Source organism: Homo sapiens, chromosome 9 (assembly GCF_000001405.40).
Source record: "Homo sapiens chromosome 9, GRCh38.p14 Primary Assembly".
NCBI lineage: Eukaryota > Metazoa > Chordata > Mammalia > Primates > Hominidae > Homo > Homo sapiens.
In genome coordinates, this window is record NC_000009.12 from 20,654,615 (window position 1) to 20,679,513 (window position 24,899).

General features: G+C 38.8%; 1 protein-coding gene across 4 annotated transcripts in view, besides 1 other annotated feature; it reads left to right on the forward strand.

The window, feature by feature from the left end:
• Positions 1-1,010: 1,010 nt before the first annotated feature.
• The window catches only part of FOCAD (focadhesin), a 340,326-nt gene continuing 316,437 nt past the window's right edge, over positions 1,011-24,899 (forward strand). For 2 of the 4 annotated variants that reach the window (XM_047423537.1, XM_047423539.1), the window contains exon 1: positions 1,011-4,212. The gene's annotated coding sequence lies outside the window, so the exon portion shown is untranslated. The remainder of the gene's footprint in view (positions 4,213-24,899) is intronic. The other 2 variants (NM_017794.5, XM_017014855.2) reach the window with 2 other exon arrangements.
• Positions 4,072-4,131: an enhancer, noted in NCBI's record as "active region_28230". NCBI's record gives its function as "activates an Ori minimal core promoter by ATAC-STARR-seq in GM12878 lymphoblastoid cells {active_cell/tissue: GM12878}" and the evidence as "EXISTENCE:reporter gene assay evidence [ECO:0000049][PMID:35858748]".

Sequence of the window (24,899 nt, forward strand, 5' to 3'; positions counted from 1 at the left end):
GCTATAAACAGAAGTGCTGTCATTCAGGCTTTGTGATTTCACTTATAAAACAGTGGCAGAATGGATTTAGCATCATTTTTAAGGGCCCTAAAATTTTCAGAATAGTAAGTATGCATTGGTTTCAAATGAAAGCCATCAGCCCCTAACAAGAGGGTCAACCTGTCTTTTGAAGCTTTGAAGCAAGGCACTGACTTCTCCTCTTTAGCTATAAAATTTCTAGATGGCATATTCTTTCAATGGAAAGGTGTTTCATCTACACTGAAAATATGTTGTTTAGTGTTCCTCCTTCATCAGTGATCTCAGCTAGATCTGGATAATTTGCTGCAACTTTTACATCAGCACTTGCAGCTTCACTTTGCACTTTTATGTTTTGAAGATGACTTCCTTCTTTAAACTTCATGAACCAATCTGCTAGCTTCTAAATTTTCTTCTGCACCTTCCTCATGTGTCTCAGCCTTCATAGAATTGAAGAGAGTTAGAGCCTTGCTCTGGATTAGGTTTTGGCTTTAGAGAATGCTGTGGCTGGTTTGATTTTATATCCTGACCGCCAAAACTTTCTCCGTATCAGGAACGAGGCTGTTTTGCTTTCTTAGCATTCATGTGTTCACTGGAGTAGCTCTTTTTAATTTTCCTCAATAACTTTCCCTTTGCATTCACAATTTGGCTAACTGATGCAAGAGGCCTAGCTTTCAGCCTACCATGGCTTTTGAGATGCTTAATCGTTTTTAGCTTTTGATTGCTAGTGAGGGATGAGTGACTCTTCTTTTCACTTGAACGTTTAGAAGTCTTAGGGTTATTGGTCTAATTTCAATATTGTTATTTCTCAGGGAATAAGGAGGCCTGAACAAAGGGAGAGAGATGGGGGAATGTCTGATCTGTGGAAGCGTGGAACAATCAGGACACACACAACATTTCTCAATTAAATTCAAGTCTTCTAGGGTGTGGTTTGTGGTGCACCAATGCAATTGCAAGAGTAACATCAAAGATCACTAATCACAGATAGCCATAAGAGATAAGACATTTTTTATTGTGTCTATTAAATTCTTCTCTCTTTTTTTCTTTATTAGTCTTGCTAGCGGTCTATCAATTTTGTTGATCCTTTCAAAAAACCAGCTCCTGGAGTCATGACTTTTTTGAAGGGTTTTTTGTGTCTCTATTTCCTTCAGTTCTGCTCTGATTTTAGTTATTTCTTGCCTTCTGCTAGATTTTGAATGTGTTTGCTCTTGCCTTTCTAGTTCTTTTAATTGTGATGTTAGGGTGTCAATTTTAGATCTTTCCTGCTTTCTCTTGTGGGCATTTAGTGCTATAAATTTCCCTCTACACACTGCTTTGAATGTGTCCCAGAGATTCTGGTATGTTGTGTCTTTGTTCTCGTTGTTTTCAAAGAACATCTTTATTTCTGCCTTCATTTTGTTATGTACCCAGTAGTCATTCAGGAGCAGGTTGTTCAGTTTCCATGTAGTTGAGCGGTTTTGAGTGAGATTCTTAATCCTGAGTTCTAGTTTGATTGCACTGTGGTCTGAGAGATAGTTTGTTATAATTTCTGTTCTTTTACATTTGCTGAGGAGAGCTTTACTTCCAAGTATGTGGTCAATTTTGGAATAGGTGTGGTGTGGTGCTGAAAAAAATGTATATTCTGTTGATTTGGGGTGGAGAGTTCTGTAGATGTCTATTAGGTCTGCTTGGTGCAAAGCTGAGTTCAATTCCTGGGTATCCTTGTTGACTTTCTGTCTCGTTGATCTGTCTAATGTTGACAGTGGGGTGTTAAAGTCTCCCATTATTATTGTGTGGGAGTCTAAGTCTCTTTGTAGGTCACTCAGGACTTGCTTTATGCATCTTGGTGCTCCTGTATTGGGTGTATATATATTTAGGATAGTTAGCTCTTCTTGTTGAATTGATCCCTTTACCATTATGTAATGGCCTTCTTTGTCTCTTTTGATCTTTGTTGGTTTAAAGTCTGTTTTATCAGAGACTAGTATTGCAACCCCTGCCTTTTTTTGTTTTCCATTTGCTTGGTAGAGCTTCCTCCATCCTTTTATTTTGAGCCTATGTGTGTCTCTGCACGTGAGATGGGTTTCCTGAATACAGCACACTGATGGGTCTTGACTGTTTATCCAATTTGCCAGTCTGTGTCTTTTAATTGGAGCATTTAGTCCATTTACATTTAAAGTTAATAGCGTTATGTGTGAATTTGATCCTGTCATTATGATGTTAGGTGGTTATTCTGCTCGTTAGTTGATGCAGTTTCTTCCTAGTCTTGATGGTCTTTATATTTTGGCATGATTTTGCAGCGGCTGGTACCGGTTGTTCCTTTCCATGTTTAGCGCTTCCTTCAGGAGCTCTTTTAGGGCAGGCCTGGTGGTGACAAAATCTCTCAGCATTTGCTTGTCTGTAAAGTATTTTGTTTCTCCTTCGCTTATGAAGCTTAGTTTGGCTGGATATGAAATTCTGGGTTGAAAATTCTTTCCTTTAAGAATGTTGAATATTGGCCCCCACTCTCTTCTGGCTTGTAGGGTTTCTGCCGAGAGATCCGCTGTTAGTCTGATGGGCCTCCCTTTGAGGGTAACCTGACCTTTCTCTCTGGCTGCCCTTAACATTTTTTCCTTCATTTCAACTTTGGTGAATCTGACAATTATGTGTCTTGGAGTTGCTCTTCTCGAGGAGTATCTTTGTGGCGTTCTCTGTATTTCCTGAATCTGAACGTTGGCCTGCCTTGCTAGATTGGGGAAGTTCTCCTGGATAATATCCTGCAGAGTGTTTTCCAACTTGGTTCCATTCTCCCCATCACTTTCAGGTACACCAATCAGACGTAGATTTGGTCTTTTCACATAGTCCCATATTTCTTGGAGGCTTTGCTCATTTCTTTTTATTCTTTTTTCTCTAAACTTCCCTTCTCGCTTCATTTCATTCATTTCATCTTCCATTGCTGATACCCTTTCTTCCAGTTGATGGCATCGGCTCCTGAGGCTTCTGCATTCTTCACGTAGTTCTCGAGCCTTGGTTTTCAGCTCCATCAGCTCCTTTAAGCACTTCTCTGTATTGGTTATTCTAGTTATACATTCTTCTAAATTTTTTTCAAAGTTTTCAACTTCTTTGCCTTTGGTTTGAATGTCCTCCCGTAGCTCAGAGTAATTTGATCGTCTGAAGCCTTCTTCTCTCAGCTCATCAAAGTCATTCTCCATCCAGGTTTGTTCCGTTGCTGGTGAGGAACTGCGTTCCTTTGGAGGAGGAGAGGCGCTCTGCTTTTTAGAGTTTCCCGTTTTTCTGTTCTGTTTTTTCCCCATCTTTGTGGTTTTATCTACTTTTGGTCTTTGATGATGGTGATGTACAGATGGGTTTTTGGTGTGGATGTCCTTTCTGTTTGTTAGTTTTCCTTCTAACAGACAGGACCCTCAGCTGCAGGTCTGTTGGAATACCCTGCCATGTGAGGTGTCAGTGTGCCCCTGCTGGGGGGTGCCTCCCAGTTAGGCTGCTCAGGGGTCAGGGGTCAGGGACCCACTTGAGGAGGCAGTCTGCCCGTTCTCAGATCTCCAGCTGCGTGGTGGGAGAACCACTGCTCTCTTCAAAGCTGTCAGACAGGGACACTTAAGTCTGCAGAGGTTACTGCTGTCTTTTTGTTTGTCTGTGCCCTGCCCCCAGAGGTGGAGCTTACAGAGGCAGGCAGGCCTCCTTGAGCTGTGGTGGGCTCCGCCCAGTTCGAGCTTCCCGGCTGCTTTGTTTACCTAATCAAGCCTGGGCAATGGCGGGCGCCCCTCCCGCAGCCTCGCTGCCGCCTTGCAGGTTGATCTCAGACTGCTGTGCTAGCAATCAGTGAGACTCCGTGGGCGTAGGACTCTCCAAGCCAGGTGCGGAATATAATCTCGTGGTGCGCCGTTTTTTAAGCCCGTCGGAAAAGCGCAGTATTCGGGTGGGAGTGACCCGATTTTCTAGGTGCCGTCTGTCACCCCTTTCTTTGACTCGGAAAGGGAACTCCCTGACCCCTTGCGCTTCCCAGGTGAGGCAATGCCTCGCCCTGCTTCGGCTCGCGCACGGTGCATGCACCCACTGACCTGCGCCCACTGTCTGGCACTCCCTAGTGAGATGAACTCGGTATCTCAGATGGAAATGCAGAAATCACCGTCTTCTCCATCGCTCACGCTGGGAGCTGTAGACCGGAGCTGTTCCTATTCGGCCATCTTTGCTCCTCCCTGCAACTAACTCCATTCTTAATTGGTAGGTGATTCTTATGGGTTGAATTGTTTTCCCCCAAATTCCTATGCTGAAGTTCCAACCCCTAGTACCTCAGAATGTGACTGTATTTGGAAATAGGGCCTTTAAAGAGGTGATTAAGTGACAGGGTGTGGTGGCTCACGCCTAGCACTTTGGGAGGCTGAGGTGGGTGATTGCCTGAGCTCAGGAGTTCTAGACCAGCCTAGCCAGCATGGCAAAACCCCATTTCTACTAAAAATTCAAAAAATTAGCTGGCTGTGGTGGTGTGCGCCTGTAGTCCCAGCTACTTGGCAGGCTGAGGAAGGATAATCACTTAAACCTGGGGGGCGGAGGTTTCAGTGAGCCAAGATGGCACCACTGCCCTCCAGCCTAGGGAACAGAGTGAGACTCTGCTCCCCTCCCCCCGCCCCACACAAAAAAATTTAAAAAGAAAGTTAGCCTGGCATGGTGGTGTGTGCCTGTAGTTCCAGCTAATTCGGAGGCTGAGGCATGAGAATCGCCTGAACATGGGAGGAGGAGGTTGCAGTGAGTCAAGATGGCGCCACTGCACTCCAGCCTGAGTGACAGAGTGACTCCATCTAAAAAAAAAGAGAAAGAAAGGAGAAAGAAAGAAAGAAAGACAGACAGACAGAAAGAAAAAGAGGTGATTAAGATATAAGAAGAGGAAGTTTGGCCAAAGAGACACCCAGGATGTATGCACATAGAGGAAAGATCATGGGAGGATATGGTGAGAAAGTGGTCATCTGCATGTCAAGGAGCTAGGCCTCGGGAGAAAGCAGGCCTGCTAACACTTTGATGTTGGATTTCCCTGCATCCAGAGCTGGAAGAAAATAAATTTCTGTTGTCTAAGTCACCCAACCTGTGATACTTTGTTATGGCAGCTGTAGCAAACTAATGTAGTAATAGTCATTGAAAGATTTTATGCAGGGAAGCAGTCATTTTGATGGCATTGTGAAAGCATTGGAAAGCAGTGAGATGCAGGTGGGCAGATCAGTTAGGATATTGCATCAGTCTAGGCAAGAGATGGGAAGGGCTTGACTAAGGCAGTGACCATCGGAGTGGTGCAATGAGATATGAGAGATAGCTCAGAGGTAAAAATTAATGGAGAGAGAGTGGATAAGTTGGCAACATTTTCCAGGTTTCTTGCTCAAGTGGCTGGGTGAATAATATGCCATCAAGGCCTGAAGTAAGAAATATAGGAAGATAATTCAGTTTTGTTTTCAAGATAATGAGTTTGGTTTTTTGAGATGTTTTCTTGGAGTACCTGTGGGACATCCTTATGGACAGGTTCAGTGGTAGCTAAATATCCAGATGTGGAGACGAGGAGATAAGAGAGGCTACAGACAATAACTTGTGAGCCATCAGCAATAATAACAGCAATAATAGTAGTTATGGTTAACACTTAACCTAGGGCTTATCAGGCGCCAAGCAATATTCTGAACCCTTTGGATGTCACATATCCTTACAATGACCTATGGTGTAGAAACTACTGTTATTCCCATTTTAAAGATGAGGAAATTGAGGCAGAGAAAAAATACCCAAAGTTACTCTCAGCCAGGAAGTGTAGAGTCAGGCTATGAGCCCATACAGTCTGGTTTTAGGGCATGTATCTTGACAAGGTGATTTGCCTCTTCATGTAGTTGGTAGTTAAAATTATGGAAAAATATTCAGATCCCTTAGAAAGAAGATTTCTATAGGGTGAGAAGAAAAGAAGTCAGTATAAAATCTGAGGACATTTCAATACCAATATGTAGAGATCAGCAGAAAAAGAAGATCCGAAGAGACAGCAACAGTTTGGTTAGAATGATGGAAGGAAGACCAAGATGAGAAGTGGCCAACAGTATCAATGCCACAGAGATACCAAGTAACAGACTCAGAAAAGTGTTCACTGGATGTGAAAAGTAGGAGAAAGCTGGTAGCCCCAGCAAGGGTCATTTTATTTGGGTTTGAGGGAGAAGGATCAGAAGTCAGATCATAGTGACTGGAGAAGTTAGAAAAAGAGCATACAGAAATAAAAGAAGAATTATGGCAGAGAAGGATATGAGAGGCAGACAGTCAAAGAGAAAGAGAGAGAGAGAGAGCAATTTGGGCAAAAATTATGGGGACATTCCATGACAAGACTGTGATTAAAATGGAGTGGTTGAACATGTTCATAGACCACGGGAAAGGAGTCAGCAGAAGAGGGGAGGTTTAAGACAGAGAGGAATAATTTGAGAAGGGATGTTTTAGAGAAATTAGAGAAGTAGAATTAAGAGCACAGCTGGAGAGCTAAGGAGGCTGTGGAGATGTTTGGCAATGGCAACTGAAAATGATGGCATTCACTCTGATGTTCTTGGTCTTCTCTGAGAAGTACGGAAGCAAAGTTATCTGAAAAATGTGGTAGAGGAGAATGGGTTGGGAGACAACCAAAGACTAGTAAAAGGACTGAGAAGTAGCATGAAGGGCTCAATAGACAGGAGAAACATTGAAATTGTAGTGTCAGCACCACTTAAAGATGTATGATAGTCTCCAATGTGCTGAGTTCTGTAGGAGGAAGAGTAGACAACATGTATTATAAGATTGTCTCAAGACTGGGTTTTGCAGCAGGCTGTGATAGAAAAACCTGACTTGGTTGTGAGGAGTGGGGAAAGGGAGGTGTTAAAAATGAGGGAATTTAAATGGTTGGGAGGCAGTTGTTCACTTGATGGGCCAAGGAGCACAGACTAGGCAGGTAATTAAAGTCTAAGAGGGAACTGTTAAACTGAGATATTCTCAGTGTCCTTCTTTTTCTCACTATCTCTCTTCCTACTGTTTTACATTTTGTCACACTGGGAAAAAGAGGTCAATATTTAGAAAATCAGCCATTGTGTCTAATTTTCATATTGCTAAACATAGGATACATTGAGTACATATTGCTGCAAGCCCTATGGAAGTTAATTCAGTAATACCAGATTACAAAGGCATTTACACTTAGACTCAGAAATTCTACTTCTGTCACTTTATCCTACAGATATACTTAGGCAGGTACAAAATGATGTGGGCAAAAGCACCACTGTTATTAGTAAAAGCTTGGAAACCTCTGAAATGGCCATCAAAAAATGCTGCTGTAAAAGAAAGAATGAGGAAATTCTTTATATATTGACATGAAAAGATAACCAAGATTAAGTGAAAAAAAGGCAAGGTACAAAACAGTGGTAGAGTATGCACCTTTTGTCTATGAAAAATGGGGAATTATGAATATGTATGATATTTGCCTTAGTTGCACAAAGAACTACTGAAAATATCTACAAGTAGTGGATGGGACATGATTTCACAGTAAACTTTTTATATTGTTTTTATTTTTTAAATGTGGCTGTGTTGCTAAACATAAAGTGGAAATATATGTGTGTGTGTGTGCATATATGTGTGTGTGTGTGTGTATAATTACAAGCTACATTGTGATAGCCATGGAGATGCACAGTCCAGATCCCATTACAAGGAATTAATTACTGCCCAGCTGTGGAGAACGTAGTCTGCACAAAAGCCTCCAGCTGTCAGCTCCTTTAGGGTCAGCCTCGGGGGTAAAGAGCCATCTTAGCCAAAGTCATGCCCTTCCCAAGGCAGCTTACATTTGGTGACTGAGAGAAGCAAGGGAATAAAGACTGGGACATTTTAGTCTGGGACAACTCCGAAGGGCAATATTAGCCTCCTAAGCTCCCAGCCAGGGTGACTGGGGACTTTGTCCAGCCTGCATCTGGTTTCAGCTTTTTTCCTGCTCAATTCTGCTTCCTCTCCCCACTCCCCAACACGTTTGACAGATATTTATACCTTTTTATTTCTATTTTTAAATTTTTTTTTTTAGAGGTGGGGGTCTCATTATATTGCCCAGGCTGGTCTTGAACACCTGGGCTCCCTGCCTTGGTCTCCCAAAGTGCTAGGATTACAGGCGTGAGCCACGGCACCCAGCCAGATATTTATCCCTGATAAACGTCTTGCAACCCAAACTTTGGCTCAGAGCCTGCTTTTGGAAGAGTCAGGAATATATTTTGATAACATTCTAAAGATTTAGTTTTCAATGCATAGTATACTTAATAGAAAAATCAAGACATTTAAACTTAAAGGAATAATTCAAATAACATAATAGAAAATTATTTGTATCCAGTTGTCTTGAGTCTAATGTATTTCAATATAACCTTTTAAAGTTACAGTTTTAACAGTAACACTTATAATGTATCTTATTCTCAGTAAACAAACTATAAAACAAAAGGTTTTTTACTTCTGATAATATCAAGGAACAGTGGCTATGTTTGCAAATTAAATTAGGCTGGGTGTGATAGCTTCATGCCTGTAATCCCAGCTCTTTGAGAGGCTGAGGTGGGAGGATTGCTTAAAGTTAGGAGTTTGAGACCAGCCTGGGCAACATAGTGAGACTGCCTCTACAAAAAAATAAAAAACAAAAAATTAGTCAGACATGGTGGCACATGTCTGTATTCCTGAGCTCAGGAGTTTGAGGTTACAGTGAGCTGTGATCATGCACTGCACTCCAGCCTGAGTGACAGGGAAAGACCCTGTCTGAAAAAACAAGCAAGCAAACAAATAAATAATATAAAAAATTAAGAGGCACTCTTTTCCTTAACGAAATATTTCTATCAGCGGTCCATATTACCTACTACATGTATGCATGTGTGCATGAACACACACACACACACACACACACACACACACATACACACAGTTTATGACTATGTTTGCAATCTTCCAATCTATCATCTATCCTTAATCACTTAATAGACATTTTATTAAATGCTATGCATCAAAAACAATTCTAAGACATGGGCCCTCTTTTCAAAGAATTCAATATAGTTGCCACTTCAATAATGGTACCAGAATGCTTTTAAAATTCTTGTGTGAGGAAAACAATACGTAACCTCAAGCCTGAGACTGCTTCACGTATCACAGTATTTTCTGAAAGACTTTCCTTTTCAGACTTCTGCATTTTCCATTTCTCTAAAACACATTTTCTGTAAAAACCATCTCAAGTATCCTTACAAAGTGTACTTTATATGATATTTTCTCCCAATCTTCATACTTGAACAAATAAACATGTAGGGATTATGTTTCTTTCTATTCTTTATTAATGTCATGAAGTAAATCACTAGTGGATGATGTCTTTTAAACTTGTTTTCCCAGTTACCTATTTTGTGTTGTTATTTTGTCTTAATGAGATCCACTGAGACAGTAAATTTCAAAGCACTTTTCCAACAGTGAAGTGAAAATATCAGCATTGTTGTTTTTATTAATTATTAATGAAATGAATGTATTAACTCTGTTTTCTCCTCAAGATTCTGCAGAAAATCTAATTTTAAAAGTTCTATATTTAAATAACATATGTTTTCCTTTTAAAAAGTTCTATATTTCTAGACCCATATATAAATAAAAAATAGTTTATAGTATTAAATTTATATCTATTTGTGAGACAAGGTTGACTAAGTGATCTGACATATTGACTAAGTGATCTGACATCTAGTATGACCATAGAAACACCTACTTTATTAAAAGAGGTAAAAAGTAATAGTTCAATTAATACTGATTCTATTTAATGGTTCAACAAATCAGACCTCAATTAGAAAGAGCTATTCATTTCTCAGTGCATATTATCTACTAAGCATTTTAAGGGCTCCAAAAACAAGTAGGGCTTCATCAGTCTTTCTGAAGAGTTTATAAGTTTATAATATATTCAAGAGGAATAAGGCAAATAAGCAGGAAGGGAGAGATAAATCCCATAAAGAAGGAACCTTATAGTGGAGAGCTTCAAATGCCAGAGTGATTTCTTTTCTTTTCTTTTCTTTTCTTTCCTTTCTTTTTTTTTTTTTTTCTCATGGAGATGAGGTCTCGCTTTGTTGACCAGGCTGGTTTCAAACTCCTGGCCTCAAGCAATCCTCCTGACTTAGCATCCCAATGTGCTGGGATTACAGGCGTGAGCCATTGTGCCCGGCCCAGGGTGATATCTTAATAATGGTGATGGTTTCAAGAGTTTATACATGTGTCAAAGCTTATTAAATTGTATACTTTAAATACATAAAGTTTAATGTATGTCATATTTACCTCAATAAAACTATTTTTCAAAATACCAGTTTTTGGTATTTTGAAATGTTATACATAGTGGAAAACACTGCATTTTTTTAAACAGAGAAATGATAAAACTAGTATTCTGCCTTATGACGAATAAGTTGGTGGTAACATTAGTTGACTTAATTAAAAAAGGAAAATGATAAACCAGGGTAGAGTACTCCAGTATGGGGGTATTCTGCTAGATTAAGTAGGCATGTTGATTGTTAATGGCTTAATAGAGCTAGAGTTACTGGCTTAGAGACTGCTAAAGAAAAAGAAAAACCTTGCTTGAAGTTTTATTAAGACTGAGTCCCAAGAGATCTAAAGACCTAGAATAATTGTATAGGTTTCCAAGTCTTATAGAAGAGTATGATAGTGATGATAGTGAAAAATATAAATACCTTCTAATTTGCAAAGCCTTTTCTGGGAGGCAGTGACTCCCAGAAAATGTAAATACTACATTTACACTGCTTAGGACAATAAAGCCCAACTCTTTATCTTTTGTAACTAATGAATGACGAATCAGCTAATTCATCTCTTTATCTCATTCTATAATAAAAAGATTAGTGATTTCAGTTCAGTCACTTCCTCAGAATTGTGGTCTGTATTGTGTCAGGACAAGATCAAATAAGTGCATATCCACCTTTTATATGTCTATACAATTATTTGATTCTAGAAATATGAGAGTAAAAGGAAAAGAGTAAATATGTTGGTGAAAAGTGTGACAGCACAAGCCTAAGCAGGAGAACAAAATGAAAAGTAGTTCTTAAAGGGAATAAAAGTTCTTTGGATGTTTGCTTTTCCCGGGTTTTAATCTCTTGTTACCCAGAATATAATTGAAATATATTATTTTAATGGCTGGGCACGGTGGCTCACGCCTGTAAGCCCAGCACTTTGGGAGGGCAAGACAGGCGGATTGCCTGAGGTCAGGAGTTTGAGACCAGCCTGGCCAACATGGTGAAACCCTGTCTCTACTAAAAATACAAAAATTATATATTTTATAATTATATATATATATTTTAGACGGAGTCTCGCTCTGTCACCGAGGTTGGAGTGCAATGGCGTGGTCTCAGCTCACTGCAACCTCCGCCTTCCAGGTTCAAGTGATTCTCCTGCCTCAGCCTCCCGAGTAGCTGGGATAACAGGCACCCGCCACCACGCCCAGCTAATTTTTGTATCTCTATCTCTGGTTGTCACTAGAGATCTGGAATCAGGTGTGGGAAAGGATGGGTCAGAAGACTGCTGGCTTTTGTTTGCTTGTTTGTTCATTTGTTGTTAAAAATTCTGTAGTACTATCTCATTGTTTAAACTATTTACCCATATTATTATGCATTCTATAAAGTGATTATTTGGTGAAGACCATAAATATTACATATAGCATGAATAAAAAAATAACTGGCTGGGTGCAGTGTCTTGCCCTGTAATCCCAGCACTTTGGGAGGCTGAGGTGGAAGATTGCTTGAGCTCAGAAGTTCGAGACCAACCTGGGCAACACGACAAAATCCCATCTCTACTAAAAAATACGAAAACAGCTGGAAGTGGTGGTGCATGCTTGTAGTCCCACCTACTTGGGAGGCTGAGGCAGGAGGATCAATTGAGCCCAGGAGGCAGAGGTTGCAGTGAGTCGAAATCACTCCCCTGCACTCAAGCCTGGGTGAGAGTGAGACCCTATCTCAAAACAAACAAACAAACAAAAACTGTCTTACTCTTACTCAGATAGGTACTTATGATTTGGAATGAAGTTTCCAATTAGAGCTTCTATACGGATTTATTATATACTTAACCTTAGGCAATTTAGATGGAAGAGAAGAGGGTGTTTTCTAGAAAATTATGGTGATGGTTTAAAATGTGGTTCCAGTGGTGGCAACAATACTGATGTTGGAGGTGTCTGCGAAGAGTTTGATTAAAATTGTTTAATGTATATGAGTGGGAAAAGCACATCAATTGGGGAACATTCTACAATATTAGACAATATGAAATTGTAAACATGTATGTGTAAATAAATCCATAAATTATTTTTTGACTATGTCTTTGATATTCCTGAAATATGAAATATTCTAGTTGGCAAAAACAAACAAACAAAAAAACCCACAAAAACTACTTTTGCATCTTTTCATTAGGAAAAAAGCGATTGATTTAAATTTGAAGTCACTTTGTATTTTGGCAAATTTCACAGTTTCCTCCATTGTTCTCTGAAGCTACTAATAATTACATTTAAGTCGAATTTCGAATCTACCACTAATTAGTTTCTCTTTCTTTGTCTATCTTATAAAGTCACTAAAATCATCCTCATGTGAAATGCACGTGTTATAGCTTGTCTCATATTATCATCTTGATCAATTAAAAATTAAAATTTTCACTACTCAAAATACTCTGATAAGTAATCAAAGGCTATATACTTTAGGAAAAAACTAAAAATAATCCACTCGTTTATTTGAGATTGAAATGGACTTATAAATCTTGTTGGCAGTCTTAAAGCTAAAGCAAAGTCTACAAATGCATTAACCCAGAAGGAAGAGGACAAGTTTGTGCCATATAATTTTATAATTGGGAATTTAAATTGTAAAAGAAAAAGTACCCAATAAATGGCAGATCTCCTTTGTTTTAACCTCATCCAAAATTAATCCCACTTTTTGATCACATCCCTGACAAAGGAATCTTTCTTTCTAATGCTGCAATATTAGCCTGGGGTTCAGGAACATCCCTGCGAGGACAGAGAGGAATTACCCAGGAAACCACTGCAGAAATTCCAAGTATCTTTTAGGTGCTTTACAGTTGACACCTGAAGACCTTTCTGACATGGTCACTATTGTGACAGGAATAATACTGCTTCATGGTCAGTCTGTGGTGAGATTATGCGTGGAAAACCTTGGATTTCCAAAGAATTAAGAAATTAAAAACAACAGCAACATCAACAAAAATAAAAACCAGATATGAAAAAAAACCTCCCTAATGAAGACGGGATTCTTTCTTCTTTGCATACCATCAAAAAGATCATTCTGGTGTAGATAACAGAAGTGGAGTTGAATCATAATTTTTTTTTTAGTTGATTATAGATGCCACTAGAAAAGGTTTAAGCGTGTTTGGACAGGGAAATAGAAGTATTCTTTTACATTTGCTGAAAGAAGATCTATTATCTCTAATAATTTCTGAATGAAATACAATTTAATTGTAGTTTCCTGTAAATAAATACATTTCCACATTTCATACGGCAGAGAAGAAATTTGGTTTTGTTTGCATCTCATTTTTGTATTTTTAAGAGTGAAGTGTGAAATTGTAATGACAAATTTCCCTTTGTTTTCCTCTATTTGAGAGTTCATTGCTGAATACTTTTAACGTTTAATCATAAGGGGGAAAATGACCCCAGAATTATATGATCTTTAATGACTCCATTTTAACAACTAGATACAAAAAGAGAAGCAAAGTGAAGGACATCCTCTTAACCCATTCAGATGGAAATGTGAATCAAGTGGAAACATTTTATAAATGTTTATTAATATAAGCAAGTTGCTTTATTTACTAGCATTATTATACTGTGCAATAAAATACTCCTTGTGGTTAGAAGCAGTTACAAACAGCTAACTATTGTTTTCCTATTTCCATTTTTTATGTTCTGATATCAGGCAACATCTACATCAAAAAATTACAGGGGGAGGAAAAGAAGAGAAATTAGGATAGGCTATAAAGATTGTACAAATCCTAAATGGTATGATTACAGGGCATGATGGCCACTGAATAGATCCATTAGTCGTAATTGAATCTGTCAGGAGCCAGGTAAATGGCTGTCTCTGAGGAGGTCACCTTCCACATATGAACTGGCCTACAGCTTGTATTAGCCTTGTCAGGAGATTGAATCCTGACTTATCTGTAGAAACCTTTAAAACAAATAATAGGAATGAAGTAGCAAAGCTCAAAAGTAACAACATTCTGGACGGAAACAAAATGCATAGCATAAGGAGTGGTGATCACACCAGACAAACTTTATTGCCCATCCTGTTCCCAGGCTGTGTGGCACGCTCCCCGTTTTCTCCTCTAGGTTCACGGTTAGCCTCCCCACCCATCTCTGGGCTGACATTTTCAAAGGACTGCATCAAAGGTGATTCCTTGCCCTGTGACTTCCATAGGAAGTCCTGTTTGGAGACCGGAGGATGGAAGAGAAAGAATATTTATTTCCCTGCTCTTGGATATTTAATTCCCTGGTTTCTTCCTTCTTGGGGGCCTTGTGCTTCACCAAGGACCATAGCTGGTCTTTGGAGTAAGGCAAGTGAGGTCCTAGGGTGAAAAAAATTTAAGGGGGTGCTCATTCTCAGGGTTGTGCAAGGGGAGGATCGGCACTGGAGAGAGGCCCTCCTTAGATTTATTTTGTCACTAATTCCTTACACTAGCCCTTCCTTTAATTGAGCTAGTTTGAAGGGATTCTGTTCCTTATTTTCAAAGCAGCACAAACCAAAATAGCAAAAAACCAGAAGCCTGAGAAGCACTTGGTGAAAACTTGGTTATTCTAAAATAATTCAGGATTCTTGGGCCCAGAAACTTATCCTCGTCAAGATTGGATATGTGTTGCTTCATAAATTGTAAGGCCAGTGAAAAAAGAAAACATGGCACAGTGCTGTGGCTCATGCTTGTAATCCCAGCAGTTTGGGAGGCCGAGGCGGGCAGATCACTTGAGATCAGGAGTTCAAGACCAGCCTGGCCAACATGGGGAAACCTGTCTCTATTGAAAATACACAAATTAGCTGGGCATGGTGGTAAGCACCCTGTAATCCCAGCTACTCAGGAGGCTGAGGCATGAGAATCGCTTGAACCCAGGAGGCAGAGGTTGCAGTGATCCAAGATTGTGCCACTGCACTCCAGCCTGGGTGACAGAGCAAGACTTCATCTCAAAAAAAAAGAAAAAGAAAAAGATAATACAGGGCGCCCATGTAAGCATTACTGAAAATGTCAAGAAAGCAACAGCAGAGCATTGAAGCAAGCACAGGAACTTTCTTAGTGTGGGTTCCTACATGACTACATAGGTCATATACTCATGAAGCCCAGATTCTGAGATATTTGCAAATGAAATGGTTAATCATTGAGGAATTGTGAGAACTGAAAAAGTATTAGAAAATAAAATTAAAAGTCATTTAAAATTTTGCAAGCCCTATGATGGCAGCATGGGTTTATTATGCATCTTTTTAACCCATGGTGTTTATTAGAGCACTTTCTACATAGTAAGAACTTAGCATTAACAACAATAATATCTATAGTTACTGAACTCTTATTAGGGGCCCAAGGCCTGGTGCACAGTAAGTATTTATTTGTTGAAGTAATGAATGGGTAGATTAAATTTAGATACTGGTTAAGGGCTTTATATGAATAATCTCATTTAATCCTAAAAATCAATCCTAATGATCAATAAATCCTCATTTAAGCCTAGTGAGGTAAATATCATTAGTATCTCTTGAATTAGTCTGTTCTCACACTGTTATAAAGATACCACCTGAAACTGGGTAATTATAAACAAAAGAAGTTTGATTGATACAGTTCTGCATGGCTGGGGAGGCCTCAGGAAATTTACAATCATAGTAGAAGGTGAAGGGGAAGCAAGGCACATCTTACATAGCAGCAGGAGAGAGAATAGAGAAAGGGAGGGAGTGTCACACTTTTAAATCACCAGATCTTGTGAGAATGCATTCATTATCGCGAGAACAGCATGGGGGAAACCACCACCCTCATAATCCAATCACTTCCCACCAAGTCCCTCCCTTGACAGACACGTGAGGATGACCATTTGAGATGAGCTTTGGGGTGGGGTGGCCAGGGGACACAGCGCCAAACCATATCATCTGTATTTTATAATAAGGAACCGGAAGCTTAGAGAGTTAATTTGCCCAAGGTCACAGAGTTGGTTAACGTCTGAAATTTGTATCCCTATTTCTATGATTCCAAAGTCTAAGATCTTAACCACTCTGCCCACAATAGGCACTCTGAAGAACTGAATGATTTTTGGATTGTCTTTGGGCATTAACTGAGTTGTACCTCTAACAACTCTATTAACTTGATATTAAAAAATAGCAATCCTTATTATGTAAAAATTTTAAATCCCAGCTAGTAAATACTAACTGTATAAGAGACTCTGATTGTCTACAGAACATTCTCTCCTTAGAAAGACATATTTTTAGTCTTATATTTTATTACATTTCTGATCTTCTGTAATAAGACAATGAAATTATTATATCATGGATATAATATAATATAAATGACGGATTGTGTCATGGATACATACAACCTTATAAATATGTCAGGCCAATTAGAACTCTTAGTCTTATATTGAAATGTGCACCGTAGATAAAATTACATAGATACAAACATCTATATATTGAACTCTCGGTGGCAAATTTCAAGAACTGGAAGCCTTAAAATAAAGAGGAAAAAGCTCTTGAGACTGGAATATGCCTTAGTATTAGTGAAAACAAATTTCACTTCTCCAATTATTGTGTGGACAATCCTGTTATCTCATACCAGTCTTCTAAAATCCTTAAGCTTGAAGAATGGCTTCAGCCCAGAACAAGCTTTCTCTAAGTGGAATGCAGGAGGATTTGAGCAGCCAGATTCAAATGTGCACTACAGGAGAGCAGAATATCTGTGTGTATATGGTGACTGTTCAGTTTCCACCTATTGGCCGTCCTTGCAAGGGAGGCATCATTCTCTCACAAGATAGATTAGTATGGTAACATGTAATAAAAGAGGAGAGATTAAAAAGAAGAAAGAATGCAGAGAGAAAAGAGAAAATGAGTTACTGTTTAACAGATGCTGGGGCAAATGATTATGCTCCTGGCAGGCAAAAAAAGGGCAAAAAGTTTCCTGTATTGCTCCCTAATACAGTCACCTTTGAAGATGTGATGTGCCGACTCTCTCAAAACTAATCTGACATACACAGACACCTAAATCATAGCTGTCACTATGGAGTGCTGCCGCTGGCTTGTACAGGCTCCTGAGAGCTAATTGTGTACACCTCTTTCAAATTCCATATTCAGGGACATCAGGTTCATAGTTTGAATTTGGCCGTAATAGGAATATTTACACCACAGAAATCAGCAACCGTTGTAGTTTTTTTTTTTTTTTCCTCCCTGGAGAGCCTGTTTACCAGCACACCACTGACTGTAGCTTATAAAGACAACATAACTCCATAGTGTGTACATGGGATAGGGAACCATACTCTACTTTTGTGTGAAGGCAACAAATAAGGAAAAATGAATCAGTAAAACTCCTGCAAACTTTATAGAAGACTGTTCCAAAGGTCCTGCTGGCATATTGCAGTTTTTAAAATTCAACTACAAGTGCATTGCAATGTCATTCAGAAGGTTGAATTATAATTGGCATACTCTGTAGAAGAAGTGAGAAGTATGGTATAATTTTTATAAAGTTTTCCATTGAAAATTAATTTTTCAAAGCTATGGGAGCTGGTTTGACTATTGAGCATCTTTATTGATAAATATCAAGCCCTATGGCCTTTCTGCAACACATATTTAAGTTAAACAAATGAAATCAATAAGTTATAACTTAAAAATAAATTATTATTATTATTATTATTTTTGAGATGGAGTCTCACTCTGTCGCCCAGGCTGGAGTGCAGTGGCGCAATCTAGGCTCACTGCAAGCTCTGCCTCCCGGGCTCACGCCATTCTCCTGCCTCAGACTCCAGAGTAGCTGGGACAACAGGTGCCCGCCACCACGCCCAGCTAATTTTTGTATTTTTAGTAGAGACAGGGTCTCGCCACATTGGCCGGGCTGGTCTTGAAATCCTGACCTTGGGTGATCCACCCACCTTGGCCTCTCAAAGTGTTAGGATTACAGGCGTGAGCCACTGCGCCCGGCCAAAAATAAATTATTTTTAAAAATAACCAAAGAACCACAGGAAAAACTTATGTTACTTAAAATATTATTGTTTAGCTGGTTAAACAATCTAGGTCACCAACAGGACTCACCAAACTTCAGTTCCATGGATTTAAATCTATTTACAAGTTGCTTTTATTTAAATAAACTAATAGTTTCTAATACATAACTTATTGAAGTAAACTGATAATTAGGCATCAATTTGTATTCATTTTGGAAGCCAATGGACATTTTTAGCAGTACCAGCAGTAAAGATACTCAGATTTTATTCCCATTGCTTGGAGTATGCAGTGGCAATGAATGTCTGAAAACCACTCCAGAATGGTAGGGGGATAAATTGTATTTTGGGGAAGATTTTGGCCAGTATAGACAGAAATGGAAGAGGAGGCCTAGTTACTCTTGTTTGTTTTTACCCTTGGTTTTTTCTATTTTTTGACTATTACAAATAATGCTGCTATGAACATTTTAATACAAGCTTTTATGTGGGTTTATGTTTTAATTTCTCTAGGATATATACATAGGATTGGAATTGCTAGGTCATACGGAACTCTATGCTTAACACTTTGAGGAACTGTTGAACTGTTTTTCCATAACAGTGCACCATTTTTACATTTCCATCGACAATGTGTAAGGGTTCTAATTTCTCTGCATCGGCATCATTTATTGTCTTTTTTATTATAACTATCCTGGTAGTGGTATCTAACTGTGGCTTTGATTTGCATTCTCCTGGGGGTTATGATATTGAGCATCTTTTCATTTATTTACTAGCTACTTGTATATCTACTTTGAAGAAATATCTATACATTTTTATTTAATTATACTTAATTAATTATTATTATTTTTTTGAGACAGGGTCTCACTCTGTCACCTAGGCTGGAGTGCAGTGGCGTGATGGCGTGATCTCGGCTCATTGCAACCTCTGCCTCCCAGGCTCAAGCAGTCCTCCCACCTCAGCCTCCCAGGTAGCTGGGACTACACGTGCGTGCCACACGTGGTGTCTCACCATGTTGCCGAGGCTGGTCTTGAACCCCTGAGCTCAAGCGATCTGCCCACCTGGGCCTCTCCAAGTGCTTGGATTACAGGCGTGAGCCACCATGCCCGACTCCTAATTAATAAAATTCTTTAATTAGATTGTTTTTTAATTATCAAGTTGTAAAAGTTTTTCTACATTCCTCTTTACTCTTAATTAGTTGAAAATTTGTCAATTGTTCTTTAAGGTAAAAAGGCTAAATCAAGACCTTATGCTACCAGTTTGGATAAGAAGCGAGGCACTGGGTCTATCTGTAGTGGTATGTTGCAGTCAGTTTGTCACAAGAGCCAATTGTTAAATTTCAGGAACTTTGCAAACTACTTGTTAAACACAGTCCTTATTAAAAAGCAAATTATATCAACTTACAATTAAATATCTTATATTAGTATTAGAAATAAATATATTAGATGTTCTAAGCTTATTACTTCTGAATTATTTTTCTACATTTTATTATTATTTATGCTATTGAGGTTATTTATGCTATTGTCTCTATGGTGGAAATATTATACAATTATGTGTAAGTGTACACCTCTTCCCAACTCCATATGGAAATTGACCATGTGGGAGTACTGTATTTATACCATGGAAGTTGGCAAACACTACACATCAGCTTCTCCCCTATCTCTTTCCACCAAGAGCTGCTAATTAAACATCTGTCAGCGCACCACTGGACAATTAGGCCTGGATATTATAAAGATGTTCCAAAGGCCTAATTCTTGACAGAGAATGTAAGCAGAAGAGAATTTTTTAAGACCCCTAGCAACCCTTGCTGAGAGCACATCTTTGAAGTCCAGGCTGTGGTGCCACTTTGGAACAACTCTCATGAAGTTGCATCAAAAGATACTGGTCAGCTTTGCCTGCTAAGTTGGAGAAAGTAGGCCATGTGTTCTTTGAATGTCTGGAGGACGATGATGATTTTATTTGACTTTGCTCTGTATAATCAGTGTTTAGCATGGCGTTGAGCTGATACTATTTACTCAGTAATATTTGTTGAATAAATGATAGCTGTGCTTTTCTTCTGCCCCATGGTTATAAGGACTGAAATTTAAGAAGCCTGATTGAATAGATTCCTTCAAAATTTCCCCCCAATACCTACTTAATAAGTTCCTGGGATAAGAGGTTGTCTCAGAATCCAGGGTGAGATGGGGTAGAGTTGGGGCAGAACTATACCTATGGAAGCAGCAAGAGAACAAATTACTTCTGTGGTACATATTCTGCAAAAATGCAAGAGCCACAGTCAAGGGCAATTGACTTCTTCCTTGTAAGACCCTCTTTTTCTGGTTAAAAAAGTTTTTCTTCTATAAATCTAGTTCTCTAAGTCTCATAGGCCAGCCCTGAACCACATGGCCATGACTTGCTGTAAGGAAGTCTGGGAAAGTATCTGGCAAAGGGGAAGAAGAGAGCCATGGTTGGCTTAGGTTAGGGGTAGGCAAACTATAGTCTGTGGGTCAAAACTGGATGATCACCTAATTTTAGAATGTTTTCAAGCTAAGAATAGTTTTTACATAAAAATATATACCAGAGCATAGCCATCATGTCAAAACAAGAAAAGAAGAGAAAAGTGAACTTTTTGTGTCATGCTTTTAAGGCACAGTGGATTGTGGATTATTTTGTTATCAAATTGGATGACAAAGTATGTGTTTATTGTGCAGTGATACTATACCTGTACTAAAAGATAATATACATCAATATTCCCAGATTCATCACAATATTCCCAACTCACAGGGAGACAATGGTCAGAAAATGTGAAAATTTACAATGGAAAACGTCATCACAGCAGAATTTCTTCACAAAAATAACAAAAGAGTTGAAACCAAAGTAATTTTCTGAGTGGCTTCTTTGTTGGCCAAGCAAAGAAAGCTGTTTACTGATGATGAGTTAATTAAATCATGTTTGATCACAGCAGCTGAAAAAATTTTTTCCCAAGAAAATAAACTTGTTTCAGACGATTAACCTTTCAGTGAGATCTGTTGTTTGAAGAGTTGAAGACACTGGGAGCAACATCAATAGTCATGTACAAAACAAGGTAGATGATTTTGAGTGGTTTTCCTTGGCTCTTGATGAGTTGACAGGTATTACCAATAGTGCTCAGTTGCTTATTCAAGGAGTCAACGCTGAGTTTAAAGTCACTGAAGAATTAGCCTCTATGAATCGTCTGCGTAGAACAACTATGGGCAAATATATTTTCAAAGATGTTGGGAAAACATTAATAAAACCTGAAGTAGAATCTGTTAAGATGCCTTATAACTTATGGTGATAAAAATGTGTATGGAGAAGAAAAAGCTTAGTTGGACAAATTAATAAAGCTTGTGAAAATGTGAGAGACTTAAAGCCCATTGTTACTTACTATGCTGTTCATCAGCAGGTAATTTGCAGAAAGTGTTTGAATCTATTGTGTGTTTCTGACCCAGAAGTTCCAATGGTGAACTTCATTTACTCTGGTGGACTTAATGATCAATTCTGCAAACTTTTGTCAAAAATAGAAGCTGAATATCCCGATTTGCCCTATCACACAGCAGTTTTATGGCTTAGCAGCGGTAAAGTTTTGTTGCAATTTTTAAAACTCAGGCCTGAGACTTCTGGAATGAGAAGAACCTCCCTCAATTACTGTTATTGAACATGAGTGGCTTTGAAAATTAGCTTGTGTGGCAGACTTCATCATGTTTCTCAATATAAAATTACAAGGCAAACAGAGCATATGTCCAAAACTCACATTATGGTAAAGTCATTTTAACAAAAACTAATGCTGTTTCAATCACAAGTAATGTCAACCTGCTTAATATAGTTCCTGTGCTGTCAAAGTTTTAAAAAGAAGCAAGAGCTCCATTCCCACAAACATTTGCAGGAGATATATTTTCCAAAATCAAACTAAAGTTCCAATAGCATTTTTGGATTTCAATGCAAGTGGAAAGGAAATTTTCAAACATCAAAATCCATTTATTAAAGAAGACACAGATAAATGGAAAGACATCCTCTGTTCATGGATTGGAAGAATACCATTACAATGTTCATACCACACAACATGATCTACAGATTCAATACAATCCCTAAAAAATTTTGATAATACTATTTAAGAAATAGAAAAAAACAACATAAAATTTATAACAAACCACAAAAGGCCCTGAATAGCCAAAGCAATCTTGAACAAGAAGAACAAAGCTGGAGGTATCATACTTCTTGATTTCAAAGTACATGACAATGCTACACTAATCAAAACAGTATGGTACTGGCATAAAAATATACAGATAGGCCAATGGAACAGAGCAGAGAGCCCACGAATAAATCTATGTATCTATGGTCAACTGATCTTAAACAATAACACACAAGGATCGACTCTTTATTAGATGGTGTTGGGAAAACTGGATATTCACATGTAGGAGAATGAAATTGGACCCTTACCTCACCCCATGTGATAAAGTCAACTAAAACAGATTAAATATTCAAACATAAGATCTAAAACTGTAAAATTACTAGAAGCAAAGATAGGAAGAAAGCTTCTTGACCTTGTTCTGAGCAATGATTTTTTGAATATGACCCCAAAAGCACAGGCAACGAAAGCAAAAATAGACAGGTGGGATTGCATCAAACCAAAAAGCTTTTGCACAGCAAAGGAAACAACAGAATTAAGAGACAACTTACAGAATGAGAGAAATATTTGCCAACTATTTATGTGATAAAGGGTTAATATAGAAAATACAAAGAATTCAGCTTAATAGCAAAAAAACCAAATAACCTTATTAAAAAATGGACTAAGGACCTGATAGACATTTCTCCAAAGAAGACATACAAATGGCCAATAGATATAGGAAAAAATGCTCAACATCAGTAATCATCATACAAATTTAAAACTACAATAAGATATAACCTCAAACCTGTTAGAAAAGGTAACAAGTGTTAAGGATGTGGAGAAAAGGGAACACTTACATGCTGTTGGTGGAAATGTAAATTGGCAGAGCCATGATAGAAAACCGTGTGGAGGTTTCTCAAAATACTAAAAAATAGAACTATATCTGATACTGCAATCCCACTTTTGAGTATACCTCCAAAGGAAATGAACCTGGCATCCCAAAGAGATATCTGCACTTTTGTTCACTGCAGCATTATTCACAGTAGTCAAGATATGGAAACAACCTGTTTGTCAAAAGATGATTGGATAAAGAAAATGTATGTATGTGTGTGTGTATATGAAGATATATTGAAGTTTTTATATATCCTTTGCTTTATTGAATCCTCTCAGCACCTCCAATAATTAAAAACATATCAGGAAGAACAAAAAGAGACTTGAGGCAAATTTACTCTCTGGTCCATTTCAGAAAGAAATTGCTGGCTTAGATCAAACATATTCTATCCCTTGGTGCTGGGAACATTACTGAGTCACATAAAAATTTGGATTATTTTTAGCATGGGGATTACATTGAAATAATGTATGTCAATATTAGTAAGGATCTGATATTGTCTTGTTATTAAGAAAAGTGGTTGTAGTTATTAGAGATACATGGCTACATCATTCTTATTGCCCAAGCTGACCTTGAGCAAACTACCAAGCATGTGAATGAGGCCATCCTAGACCAGCCAAGCTTTAAGCTGACTGCAGACATGTAAAGAGATCCAGGAGGGACCAGCAAAACCAGCCTAAATATGAATTGCCTAGGAAACCACAGGATCCTGAGAATGAATAATTGTTTGTGATTGTAAGCCACTAAGTTCTGGGGTGGTGTGTTACACAGCAATCTCTATTATAGGTGACCAAGGTAAGTGTGTCAGATATTCTCTTTTTGCCCCTTCACAGTGCTGCAGGAGGCCGACCTATAACTGCAGCACAGGCTTCCCTTGCTTCAGGAGATCAAGAGAGAGGAGAATGAGGGAAGTGAAGATAGTAATTCCCTGAACCCCCTCCCTGTAGCATCACTGTGGACTGGCTGTGTTACGTGACCAAATGCCCCAAACACAGCTTCTTTGTGTTTTGTAACTACACTCTCTCCTTTCTGCTTTCAGCTTAGGCGTGATTTGGGGGCCCCAATGTTACTGCGTCTCCCTTGTGATCTTTTTAATCCCTGCCCATACCTCTGTTTATAGTCTTTTATTAAACTCTTCAATGTTTCCTAGTTTGATTGTACCATCTGTTTCTTGCTGGGACCCTGACTGATAGAGTAGGCCTTATCCAGAAGGTAACATCTCAGCAAAGACTTGAATGATCTGATGGAATGAGTCACAAAGATATCTGGGGAGAAATGCCAAGATCTTGCAGCAGCCAGGAGGCCGGGTGAGTGAGCTGGGCAGGAGTGTAGAAGACAAGGTCAAAGGGGCAACAGACAGTCTGTGTATGTGTGTGTGTGTGTGTGTGTGTGTGTGTGTGTGTGTGTGTGTGTGTGTGTTGGGGATGGAGGTGTGTGGTGCAGGGGAGGGAGATCATGTATGGCCCTGTTGGCTTTTGTAAGAACTTTCGCTTTTACTTAGAAAGAAATGGGGAGCCATTGGAGACTCGTATATCTAATTAAATCTAATAGATTGCTTTCTGTGATGTGCTGACACTGGAGCTCTGTGATTTAGTACTGAATTTCTCCTCCCAGTCTTCGTGCCTGATGATGAATGGGTGGGCGTGTTGAGCCAGCCCAGCATGCTTGGGCCTGAGTTCAAGGCTTTGTGTCTCTCTCCTGATGCTGTGGGTGACATGACCTTCCTTACAGTACAGGATTCAGACTACAGTGTCTTTTTT